The sequence below is a fragment of the Homo sapiens genome, chromosome 13, assembly GCF_000001405.40.
Source record: "Homo sapiens chromosome 13, GRCh38.p14 Primary Assembly".
NCBI classification, from domain to species: Eukaryota; Metazoa; Chordata; class Mammalia; order Primates; family Hominidae; genus Homo; species Homo sapiens.
The window spans coordinates 65,902,509-65,916,247 of NC_000013.11; the positions used below are offsets into that span (position 1 = coordinate 65,902,509).

General features: G+C 37.4%; 1 long non-coding RNA gene across 1 annotated transcript, besides 1 other annotated feature; it reads left to right on the forward strand.

Moving 5' to 3' along the window:
• The first annotated feature begins 308 nt into the window (after positions 1–308).
• On the forward strand, positions 309–12,599 carry LOC105370243 (uncharacterized). The gene is made up of 3 exons (XR_942033.2): positions 309–381; positions 1,654–1,718; positions 12,287–12,599. It is a non-coding gene; the product is annotated as an uncharacterized LOC105370243 (long non-coding RNA).
• Positions 10,567–11,766: an enhancer, noted in NCBI's record as "P300/CBP strongly-dependent group 1 enhancer chr13:66487207-66488406 (GRCh37/hg19 assembly coordinates)". NCBI's record gives its function as "activates an origin of replication core promoter dependent on BRD2, BRD4, P300/CBP, MED14 and CDK7 cofactors, with strong dependence on P300/CBP, by STARR-seq in HCT116 cells {active_cell/tissue: HCT116}" and the evidence as "EXISTENCE:reporter gene assay evidence [ECO:0000049][PMID:35650434]".
• Positions 12,600–13,739: the final 1,140 nt, after the last annotated feature.

Genomic DNA, 13,739 nt, shown 5'->3' on the forward strand with positions numbered 1-13,739 from the left:
ATGAAAAACTTTGGAAGTTTTGCTTAGGAATATGCATTTAAAAGTACCCCACGTTGACTTATGTGCACTTTAATACTTGTTATATATTGGTTTAATAAATTTTTATACTATTTGTATAATAAAAATATTTTATTATCTGTAATTATTTCACCATGTGTATCATAATACAGAATCAACAGAGAAACAGATAATGAGATAGAAAAATATGTAGTATGTATTGTGCATATATATGGGGCATACCTCATATAATAAAAATCTTTAAAAAATAACATTGTATTAATGTGGATCTAATTTTCTGAGGTAATAAGAAAAGAAAGAGGTTACTGATTTCTCTACATTCGTCTAGTCCTTACAACTCTGAGCCTTCTAACTGCTTTCCAAGTAAGTAACTAATATTTTAGTTGATGTATCAAAGGCAAAATTTTAATATATCTTGTCCAAATTGTAGTCAATGTTTTATTACGTGTGTATGTTATTGTCTAAGCTGAAATTAAAAAGTAAAACAGTTTTTCACTATAACATGTATTTGTGTTAACCGGTAAAAACATGCAACATCACAATATTTACTAGGATTCAAAAGTGAAATCATCATAATAATTTTATTTCATAGTTAAATATTTACTTAAAATTTTTAATGTGCCAAATATATTGTTTTAGCTAACTTTACTTTTAAAATGGAAACTTTTGAAGGATAATAATTTCCTAGATTATAAATTCCATAAGATTAGGACTCATAATGTTCTTGTTCTTAATATTATTGCCAATTCTCAACATTAGCCCTGACACATAGAAGATTCTAAAAAGATACTGGCTATACAGTTGTACCCAAATTTGTGTCTGTATGAAACTATTTAAAGAGTATCTTCTTCATTTGAAGAGTGTTTTGCAAAATAGTAGTTGTTGAATAAATGTTTTTTGGTTAGAATTGGGTTTGATTTATATTTTCATAATCAAAGGAAAATTAATAGTAAAATCTATTAATAGATGGTGTTCAACCCTTTGAATGTGAGGATTTTTTGCTTATCTATGATGGCAGATATCACAAAAACTGTGCATGGACTTTTTTTTTAGCTTATCAGTTATAGTTATTCTTATTGTATTTTATGTGTGGCCCAAGACAATACTTCTTTCAATGTAGCCCAGGGAAGCAGAAAGGTTGAACACCCATGTTCTATTATTTACACAGCACTCATAAGTTCATACATTAAGGAAATACTGTGCATTCTTCAAGAGGTAAACGATATTGCGTCTACTAATTTTCAATTGTGCTTATTATATAAACATGTTATTATTGTTATTACACAATGTCTTCATGTCAATTTGTGTGCAACAATATAGCTACATAGAGTGCATGCGCACACACATTTATTTCAAACCCAAAAGGGTTACATGAAACAAATCAGACTCAGGCAAGAATAAAATGCTTTTATATGATATATTTTTGAGAGCTGCATTCATGTATGATACTTCAAATTACATTGTCTGAAAAACTCAATTGAGTTAATAGATTTAGGCTTATTAAATTACTGAGATTTTAGAAAGATATGGTTTGGAATACTACTTAAAATTAAGTAAAATCCAATATGGTAACTTAAAAGACAGTTCTAAACTAGAATCACATTTAAATTAGTTTTCTGTATCTTCTGCTTATAGAACAAATAAAGAAACTGGAGCAGAAAATCAGTCACATTAAATTTACCACCATTCAAAAAGCCAAGGTAAGCTAAAAAAGTACATTAAGCTTTTATATATGGCTAAGGTTCACAGGTTAACAGAGACAAGTAAAAATTATTGCTAGTTCTAGTAAAAGCTTCCACTCAAAATGGAGCTGAAAGATATTTTAAATATCTTCTTTAAGTTACATATATGTTACATTAGAATAAGCAATTTTGCTGAGCTAATTTTTCTCTTACTCCAATTGTTATTGTTATTACACAATTTATAGAAATGTTAATGCTTTGCAATTTAATTGTTAAAGAACATTTCATAATTCGATTTTATTTACATTTTCTGTCCTTATACATTGTTAATTGCAAATTTATAATGCAGAAGCCATAATTTTTTATTGTATTCATAATGCCCATCTCGCTATGTATAGAGAGTTAATGTTAAACTGCCAGTAGTGGTTTTTAAAAAGCATATGATAATAAACATTGACTATAGAACACTGTGACAGTCAAGAAGCAAATGACTGTAATAGCACAACTGGAAACAGTTAAAAACATTGGCATGGAGAACACCAAAGCAATCTGAGCTGGATGAAAAACAAAAGCCTTTGCTAAATAGCTCTTTCCTACAACTCTCTAAAAATAAAGCACAAAAAGGCAAAACAACCTTCTCCAAGCATCAGTCCATCATTAATTTAATCTCTTTATTTGCAGATATCCAAAAACTCTGTTCATTGTATCTTCATTCAAAATTCTGTCATAGTATAATTGTAGAACTTAGGTTGAAAGTGCTCCACAAGGCTCTGTGTAAAGCAGGCTTTGCTGATTTTTTTTTTCAGCCAGTTCTTAAGAATTTAAATATACACTATTTTGGGTGGACATTTGATTTTTTTGGAAGAATCTCATGTAGTTGAGTATGGCCCAAAAATTTTGTCCAAGAGTAACTGATACCGCTTTGAAAGCCATTATTTATTTATTTTTTCAACTTTTATTTTAGGTTCTCGGGTACATGGGCACGTTAGCTGCATGGTTGTATTGTGTGTCAGTGAGGTTTGGGGTGTGCATTATCCTGTCACCCAGGTAGTGAGTGGATAATAGCTGATAGATAGTTTGTCAGCCATAACCCCTCTCTTTTCCTCCCCCATCTAGTAGTCCCATGTATCTATTTTTTTCACCTTTATGTTTATGTGTACTCAGTGTCTAGCTCCCATTTATAGGTGAGAACTTTTGGTATTTGGTTGTTGATTTATGTGATCATTTGTTTATGATACTGGCCTTCAGCTACATACATGTTGCTGCAAAGTACATGGTTTTGTTCGTTTTTTAAGGCTGCTTCATATTCCATGGTGTATATGTACCACATTTTCTTTATCCAGTCCCCCATTGATGGTCACCGAGGTGGATTCCATGTCTTTGCTATTGTGAATAGTGCTACAATGAACATACAAGTGCAAATGTCTTTTTAGTGAAACAATTCATTTTCCTTTGGGCGAATACCTAGTAATGGGATTGCTGGGTTGAATGGTAGTTCTAAGTTCCTTGAGAAATCGCTAAACTGCTTTCCATAGCAGTTGAACTAATTTACATTCTCCCCAATATTATATAAGCATTTTATCTTTTCCACACCTTCATCAACATCTGTTATTTCTTGGCATTTTAATAAAAGCCATTCTGACAGGTGTGGGATACTATCTTATTGTGGTTTTTATTTGCATTTCTCTAATGATTAGTGATCATAAGCATTTTTTTCATGTTTGTTGACTGATTGTATGCCTACTTTTAAGGATAATCTGTTTACGGTTTTTCCCCATTTTTTAATGAGGTTAGGGTTATCTAGGTATAGAATCATATTATCAGTGAAGATGGATTGTTTAATTTATTTTCCAAATTGGATGCCTTTTTTGTCTTTCTCTTGCCTGATTGCTTTGGCTAGAACTTCTGGTACCATGTTGACTAGGAGTACGGAGAATGCGCATATGTGTCTTGTTTCAGTTCTTAAGTGGAATGCTTTCAGCTTTTATTCATTCAGTATGATGATGGCTACAGGTTTGTCATAGATTGCTGTTATTATTTTGATGTCTACTCCTTCATTGCCTAATTTTTTGAGAGTTTTTATCATAAAGTGATATGGGATTTTATCAATAGTTTTTATTGTTTCTATTGAGATGATCATCTGGTCTTGGTTTTAATTTTATTTATGTGATAAATCGCATTTATTGATTTGCATATGTTGAGCCAGTTCTGGACCTCTGGAATAATTCCTAAAGATCATGGTCAATTAACTCTTCAATGTGCTGCTGGATTCAGTTTCCTAGTATTTTTTTGAGGATTTTTGTGTCTATGTTCATTAGTAATATTGGACTGCAGTTTAAATCTTTCGTTATGTCTTTGTCAGATTTTGCTATCAGAGTGTCACTGGCTTCGTAGAATGAGTTATGGAGGAGTCCCTCTTCTTCTATTTTTTGGAATAGTGTCAGTAGAATTGGTACCACCTCTTCATCATATGTCTGGCAGCATTCAGCTCTGAATTGGTCCTGTCTAGCATATTTTTGAGGGGTTGGTAGGCTTCTTCTAACTGATTCAATTTTGGAACTTGATATTGGTCTGATACAATTTGGCTGTGTCCCCACCCAAATCTCATCTTGAATTGTAGTTCCCATAATCTCTACATGTCATTGGAGGTACCCAGTGGAACATAATTGAATCATGCATGGGGGCAGTTTCTCCCATACTAGTCTCATTATAGTAAGTTCTCACAATATCTGATGGTTTTATAAGGGGCTTCTTCCTTTGCTTGGCTCTTATTCTCCCTACTGCCACCTGATGAAGAGATACCTTCTGCCATGATTGTAAGTTTCTTGAGGCCTCCCCAGGCATGTGGAACTGTGAGTTAATTAAACCTCTTTCCTTTATAAATTACCCAGTCTCAGGTATGTCTTTATTAGCAGTGTGAGAAGGGACTAATACAGTAAATTGGTACTGCAGAGAGTGGGACGCTGCTGTAAAGATACCTGAAAATGTGGAAGTGACTTCGGAACTGGGTAACAGGCAGATGCTGAAACAGTTTGGAGGGCGTAGAAGAAGACAAGAAAATGTGGGGAAAGTTTGGAACTTTCTAGAGACTTGGAGGGCTCAGAAGACAGGACGAGGTGGGAAAGTTTGGAATTTCCTGGAGACTTTTTGAATGGCTTTGACCAAAATGCTGATAGTGACATGGACAATGAAGACGAGGGTGAGATGATCTCAGATATGTAGCTTAGTTTGGCAGGATATGATATTTTTGGCTGGAGGTGTTTTTGTTTTTGTTTTTTTTCTTTCAGAATGCTGAAAATAAGCCCCTTCTGGCTTGTAATATTTCTGCTGAGAAGCCCACTCTTAGCCTAATGGGCTTCCTTTTGTATGTGATCTGAACTTTTTGTCTATCAGTCTTTAAGATGTTTTTCTTTAATGTTGACATAGTGGGTCTGGTAACTATATTCAGGTCATCAGGCATTACATTCTCATAAGGAATATACAACCTAGACCTCTTGCATGCTCAGCTCACAAGAAGGTTCACAATCCTATGAGAATCTACTTCCACCACTAATCTGACAGGAAGTAGAGCTCAGGCAGTAATGCTTGCTCATCTGCCGCTCACCTCCTGCCGTGCAGCCACAGAAGAGCACTGGTCTAACAGGCCACAGATGAGTACTGGTCTGTGGTCTGGGAGTTGGGGACCCCTGTTTTGTACTATCTGGTAGATGTTGTCTGAATTTCTTATGTGTAGATGTCTACGTTTCTAGGGAGACTAGAAAAATTTTCCTGAGTCATTACCTCAAATATATTTTCCACATTGTTTATTTTTCTCCTTCTGTCTCAGGAATGGCAATAATTCACAGATTTGGTTGCTTTACATAATCCCATATTTCTCAGAGACTTTGTTCATTTTTTAAAAATGTTTCAAACATTTTTTTTTTCTGATTGGGTTAATTTGAAAGGCTCATTTTCAAGCTGTAAAATTCTTTCTTCTGCCTGGTCCATCTACTGAAGAAGCTTTCAACAGTGTTTTCAAATTCCTTAAGTGAGTTTTTCAGTTCCAGAAAATGTGATTGACTTCTTTTCAAGATTTTTATCTCTTACTTCATTTCCTGAATTGCTTCAGAATTTTCACTGTGTTTATTTTCAATCTCGTCCTGGATCTCCTTGAGCTCCCTTGCAATCCATGCTTTGAATTCTTTATCTATCATTCCTGAATTTCCAACTTGATTTGGGACCATTGCTGAGAGCTAGAGTGATGTTTTCGTGGGATCACAACGTTCAAATTTTTTTGTGTGGGCAGACTTCTTATGTCGCTTCCTTCTCATCTGCAATAAATTTTGTTGGGTAGGGTAATTTTGGCTTTACTTGTATACTCCTATGCACTTCTGTCAGTAGGTTTTCTACTGGGCTGTGTGTTTCATCCTACTGACCAGTTGATGGCATTTGCAGGTAGGAGTCAGGTACCGCACAAGCTGGTGGATGTAGACTTGATATTTATTTACTGTGAGGTGTGCTCTTGTTTCAGGTGAAGGGCTGCAGAGTGGGCTGCTTGGTGCTCTGAGCTTCCTCTTCCATGTAGTTGGGGGACACAGCTGGGCAGAGCTTGAGCCCCTGACTTGCCCATGCATACCCTGATGGTGATCACAGGCACTAGCCCTCAGAAAGCTGACTGAGAGGAGTTCCTGGTGAAATGTGCTGAGGTCTCTTCAGGGGAGTGAGAAAGTTTCACTGGCTCACTGACCTAGGCAAGAATGTGATTTGTTTTCCTATCACACTCCTGTTCCAGGTCTCATGACTCTTAGTTTAGATGCACACTGTAGTCTACCTCTGTACCACAATATGTGGCTGAGAGCCATGGGGAATGCCTGTTTTATGACAGTAGGAGTGCTTTCAGGGCATACCCTCATATAGATAACTTTATGGCTCATCTGTTCTCCGATGCGGCAATACTACTGCTTCTTGTCAATGCTGGATGGGAGCTCCATCCTTGAGCATATGAAAGTGGGTGTTGGTTGTAGTGGTGTTGGGTGGTTGGGTCTGCCTGACCTCAGGCCCTGAGGGAAGTGGACAGGTACCAGCAAGTTAGAATGGAGTAGGTAGTTCTTAGTTTGTAGGCCCCTAGATGGCTGCTAGACATTTTGTATGAGTTCTGAAGGGCCTGGCTTAGAGTTTGGCTAGTTCAGAGTTCAGGGGCTGGCTATGATTGGGGTGGCAGGCTGGTCCTTGGGTCACTGGCTGAACTCTTAGGTAGGGGCAGGCAGAATGCTTAGATGGAGGGAATATCACAGGCCTTCAATGGTTGGGTTGCAGGGAAATGTTCAGTCAGGTTCGGTGTGACTGTGCTATGGGTCTTTCAGTGGGAAGGGCAGGACCCTTCAGCTGGAACAATGGAGACTGGCAGCTGTGGGGCACATGGCATCCTCATGCTTCTCTCCCATCCAAGTGATGCTGAACTTTCCTGGTGGGGACATGAAAAAATGCCAAGCATCATCTGTTTACTCTGGGAGTTTTGCCCCAGAGGAATGCAGAGCTGCCAGTGCTGGCAGAGTTCAGGTGAGGGCAGGGCCATTGTGCTGGAAGTCCAAACCAGTGAACCTTGCCTGGCTAGAAACAGCAGGGGTGGGGGTGGGGGCTGGTGGCTGGGGGTAGTTGCAAGGCCTACAATCTGGGGGGCTCCTAGGGGAATGCAGAGCTATGCCCACTGGCAATGTTCAGGCAGCGAGATCAGTGCACTGGAAGCCTGAGCCGAGCCTTGCCTGAGGAGGAGTGAGACAGTCTGGCTGCTCCTTGGCACTGTAGTTGCAGCCTCTATTTGGATCATGACATTTGGGTGCTCAGAAATCCAAAGCCTGTGAGGCTCCAAGTGGGCCTGAGTGGGGTCTCTGCAAAAACCCTAGTTGGCTCTCTGCATTGGTCTTGAGGCTGGGGAGTATGTGTGTTGGAATGGTCAGGGGGGTTCTCCTATGCCCAGGATTACAAAGGTCTGTAGTGGAAGTGTGGATTTACTGGGGATTCTCAGTCACTTATCCTTTCCTCACGTCAGGGAGCTTCTCCCATTATTGCACTGGTCCCCTGTGGGTAGTTATCCAGCTTCACCCCTCTCTGTTCTCTGTGGAGTCCCTCACTTTCTTGGTGAATCCCAACATGGTATCAGAGACAACCACGAGAAGAGTGAGTATCTAGTCACCACTTTGTTTTCTCTCCATGCAAGACTGGTGCATTATAGCTGCTTCTTCTAGGCAGCCATCTTGAACCCAATCTCAAAATCCACAATTCTTTAAGTTTAAGAAGAAAACATGCCTAAATGGAGTAATCAATTTTCTCTTACTAATTTTCTGTATCATTTTGGATTATTCTCTTAAGTGGTCTTAGCATCAGATGCCTTGTTTATAAAAAATGTTAATTAGATTAAAGCAACTTTAAGTTGTCTAATAGTTTTATAAAACTGTGAATTTCTGTAGGTAATCTTTTGTAGATAAAATGATCCAAGTCCCAATCCTTCCATTAGGGTCTCCTAAGAAGAAAATGTGGTATAATTTTTATAAGAAGACTCCTGTTCATAGACCATAAACTGAATTATCAGGAGTATATATGATTGGGGTTCCAATCTCATTTATGCTTTGATTCCAAAAAATTAGCAACAAAAGACTGCATTGAGATTAGCAATCAGCCTATAAGGCCCAAACCTAAAATACCTGGTTTATAAAATGGTGCAATCCCATTACTGGGTATACACCCAAAGGATTATAAATCATTCTACTATAAAGACACATGTGTCTATTGCAGCACTATTTACAATAGCAAAGACTTGGAATCAACTGAAACTCCCATCAATGGTATAGTGGATAAAGAAAATGTGGCACATATATACCATGGAATACTATGCAGCCATAAAAAAGAATGAGTTCATGTCATTTTCAGAGACATAGATAAAGCTGGAAGCCATCATTCTCAGCAAACTAACATAAGAACAGAAAACCAAACATCATGTGTTTTCATTCATAAGTGGGAGTTGAATGATGAGAACACATAGACACAGGGAGGGGAACATGACACACACACCAGGGCCTGTCAGGGGATGGCAGCAAGGGTAGGGAGAGGATTAGGACAAATACCTAATGCATGCTGGGCTTAAAACCTAGGTGGTGGGTTTATAGGTGCAGCAAATCACCGTGGCACATGTATACCTATTTAATAAACCTGCATGCTCTGCACATGTATCCCAGAACTTAAAGTAAAATGAAAAAAGAAGAAAAAGAAAAGAAATGTCCAAGCTGAAAGGGACTAGGTCAGAGAAGAAATTTACTCAGCTGAATGAGAACTTATTCTGAACTTAGTCCAAGATTAAAGGATTTTTATGACAAATGTTCTTGAGAGTGAAATGATGTGGAATCCCTCAACTTATCTGGAATATTCTTCCAATAAACCCAAGTCAGTTACTCAGAGAGGAAGAAACGTTGTAAAGCAAAGTTCTAGTGAGTTGAATCTGGAAAGAACATCAGAATACAAGGCCAATTTTAGTGCTCAACATTGGCTAAATAAGGTCACAGTGTCCACTAGTCTAGAGTAACCACTGGAGCACAGATGGGTCTAGAGCATGTCAACTTAGATTGGGGGAAGGAGAAAAGAGAAAGAGCACAATAAAAGAAAAGTTTATGGCCAAGAGGAGGCACAGAAACTTAGTGTCTGGGAAACATGCAATAAGACTCTCAGAAGAAATGAAAATAGAGCTACTAGGAAGATCATCGTGTTTGTATTGCACAATATTGAGTACTAGAAAAAAGGAATTTGGGAGCATTGTTTCATTGTAATAGCAAACCAGGAATATTAATAGGTGCTGTAGCATTAAGGACATTCTCTGGACTGGCATCAGACAAGTCTGCATTCTAACATTGGCTCCCTCACTTATGCCATCTGTGATCTCACTAACTCACCTTTCAGTTTCTTATTTGCAAAATACGGATATTGACAGCTAACATGACAGTTTTTTGTCATGATTAAGTGTGATAATATAACACAAAATAGGTACTCAATGATTGCTACTGCTGCTAATATCACTGCTGTCATTTCTTTCAGTTAAATGGGAAGTAAAGCAACCAAAGTTCCCAAGTTTTAATCAAGTAAAACATATTTCAGAGGACATTAAGTTTTTAAATGCCACAAAATTTCTCCATCTTCTATTCAGGAAGCTCCTCTTAAAGAATTTCCTTTCACCACATCAATATTTACCTTAAGTTTTTAGATCAATGAAAATATCAACTAGGTACATGCACATTTGCTAGGATGAGTGACAATTATTTCATTGATTCTTTTATTCCTTACCCTCTAAATTAATAATTGGGGATGTAGGTAAACTACAGCAAGTATGGGCCAATTTACCAAATTTTATTGCCTTGCTGACAAAGTCCTTCAAAAAGCATCTACAAATAACGTGGATTCAGAAAAAAGAATAACATGTGGTAGCCAAAACTACTCAATCTACAATAAGACAGATGCAGTTGAAAAACAGGAAGACCTTGCCACTGGTCAAAAAATCAGCGTTTAGTTTTAGTTCCTATGTGTTCTACTGAATTTTTCTCATGTAAGCTTGATTTCAAGTATGACTATATAATATATTTAGATTGAAACTAAAATGACTGATTATTAAAAGCGTTACCTTTGATTAAAAAATCAAAATCACATTTTAAATAGACTTACATCTTTAAAGTAAAAAAATATGTAACCACAGTGAAAGTTTGTAGAAGTTAGGACACAGATGGAGAAAAGCAAGAGGTCATATTCCAATGTATCTTTCTACCTGTGTTCTGTGTCCCTAAGTCTGAGATTAATATCTTCTTTGCTCCTTACTAAACCTTGTGAAGTAGTGCTTTGATGACCGCTTTATACCTGCAGAAATTCAGGCTCAGAGTTCAGGTGCATGTCAAAGGTAAATTAGCTCATAATTAGTTGAGGTAGCATCTCAACTTCAGTTTACCAAACCTCAGAGCTGATGCTGTTTCCACTATTCATTATGCCTCTATGTGCAAAGAGTAAGGAAGGTTATATTTTCAAAACCCTGAGGGGGCAATATATTATTTAAAAACAAAAATTTCATTTGTCTTAAGAATCCATTTACTGGCAAAGTTCATTCTTATGATCTAAGCTTTAGACTTTAGGAAATACATTCAGCATGAGTAATGTTCCTTTTCGCTTTTGAGTCATATCCCCAATGCCCTTCCTCTTGGCCTCCTTTTCAGCCACGAAAATTCCTATTCATCTTTCAAGTGGTGTCTAATATTGCTTCCTCTGTGAAGCCTTATTTATTCAAACTTTATATTTTCCCAACTACACAAAATATTGGATGCTTATTCTGTGGCCCTGGAACACAGGACATTTGTTTATGACAGTATTTCTCAATTCACTGTACTTATTTGTTAATACATCAGTTTTCTGTGACCGCTGCAGATAAGAGAGGCTGTGATCTCTGCAAGGACAAGGTTGTCGGTTTATTCATGTCTCTTTTTCTTTAGTGACTACCAAAGTGAATAGTATATAGTCGGCCAGGTGCATTGGCTCAGGCCTGTAATCTCAGCACTTTGTGAGGCTGAAGCAGGTGGATAGCATGAGCTCAGGAGTTTGAGACCAGCCCAAGAAACACTGCAAAACCCCATCTCTACAAAAAAATACAAAAAAAATAGCCAGGTGTGATGGTGTGCATCTGTGATCCCAGCTACTCAGGAGGCTGAGGCAGGAGGATTGCTTGAGCATGAGATGCAGAGGTTGCAATGAGCCAAGATCACGCCACTGCACTCCAATCTGAATCAAAGAGTAAGATCCTGTGTGATGGTTAATACTGAGTGTCAACTTGATTGGATTGAGGGATACAAAGTATTAATCCTGGGTGTGTCTGTGTGGGTTTTGCCAAAAGAGATTAACATTTGAGTCAGTGGGCTGGGGAAGGCAGATCCACCCTTAATCTAGTTTGCACTGTCTAATCAGCTTCCAGTGAATATAAAGCAGGCAGAAAATGAAAAGGAGAGATGGGACTAGCCTCCCAGCCTACATCTTTCTCCACGCTGGATGCTCCCTCCCCTTGAATCTCGGACTCCAAGTTCTTCAGTTTTGGGACTTGGATAGGCCCTCCTTGCTCCTCAGCTTGCAGACAGCCTATTGTGGGACCTTGTGATTGTGTAATTTAATACTTAATAAATTTAATATATATACATATCTTATTAATTCTGTGCCTCTAAGAGAACCCTGACTAATACACCCTGTTTAAAAAATAATAATAAAAATAGTACATAGTGTCTGATGACTAAATGAATTGTTTCTTGTTACATATTCTGATTATAAGAAATAAAATATTTAACTATTCAATTCACGTGCCCAGAGATGGAAGCCAAAAACAAATTTGAAGTGAGTTGTACTGTTTTCTCCTTTCCAGCTTCCTCACAAGTGAGAAGTCCCTAATAGAGACTTTGTACTGAATCTGAGTAAAAATAATTTCAGTTCTGAATAATCACTTTCCTGAAATTGATCTTTTACTTTTTTTCCTCTAATATTTGCAAAAAGAATGGAGAGTACCAACTTATTAAGAATATCTAATTACTTTTATTTTTCAGGCACTGAAAATGCTTGGATATCATACAGATAGTTTCATTATCTTCTTTTTAGAGGCACTCTGAATGTGAATTGCATCTGAGTCAGTCTATCCTTCCAGGAATTGAATTAGTTTTCCTCACACTCTCAGAGGAGGCAATGCATAACACAAGTTACATGTCAGGAGCATTCCCCAGAGATGATGATTTTGATTCAACATCCTACTGTTTCAAAAATATAGCAATATAATTTTAATATGCTATTGGGCATATATTCTGGTGGCAGTTTACCACTTCGAAAGGGATCAGATTAAAATGTCTTTATTAGAGGTCAAAATCAGCTACAGAAATTTATTCTAACCAAATAAATAATCTTATTTAGACTTTTATGTATGAAATTTATTACATTGGATCATTCTTGATAAAACTGCCTCACAGTAAGTACACAAGATAAAAATAAATACATAAATACACAAATGAATGAATCTTCTCTGCGCCCTTCCTATTCAAAGATGACATTACTGTCAGTGATTGCTATTTGTGTGTGTGGGTGAAGAGGAAAAGACCAATCTGTAACCTCCAGTCCCTTCCACACTGTGCACACATGGAGATTGTTCTTTGATTTGCAGCTGCTATTTGCAGAGCTTGTCACTGTTTGCAATTCTGTTACTTGGTATCACCTTAGGCCAGAATCCTCCAGCCTGAAAACCCCTCAGTTCCTGATTGCAATAAGCCTGTCTGCTCTCAAGATAGACTCTCATGAGAAATCACTGGAAAGTCTTTTCAGTACATATTTTTATGTTGCCTTCTTCTGTCCCTTTTCACCTACTATCCTATGGTTGCTGGAACAGGTTGTTCTCAGTAATTTTAACACTCATCTAGGATATTTTTTTTTCCTTCAAGTCATGGTCCTTCCATATTGGTGTCCTCATTGCACTGTTATGAGATAAATCATTTGTTTATATTAAAAACAAGAAATTGTTAAGGATGACACACCCTGTCCTGGCCTGAAGTTATTTGTTTGTTTGTTGTTTAAACAACATTCATCAAGGGACTCCGATAAAATGGTCCATAAAAGGGTGGGGGGCGGGGTGCATAATATGCATTGTGTTTCCAGGTTACATTCATTCAGTAACATTATTAAAGTTTATATTATTTTCAAGACACTTTGATAAATGCTGGGCCTATGAAAAGGTACAAGGAATAGCCCCCTTCCTAATTTACTGACATCCTACTAGAGAAGAAAAACCTATAACAAAAGACTATCAAAACCATGGGATAATATTGTATAAATTAAGGGAGTTGAGTGAGTAACTTTTCTGGTAGAATCCAGATGACTTTAAGAAGCACACGTTAAGACTGCCAACAAATGGTGCGAATGTCTGTCAATATCTGTAGAATGTGCAACATGAGCCCTAATGCAAACTATGGAGATGATAATGGTATGCCAATATAGGTATATAGATTATAACAAATG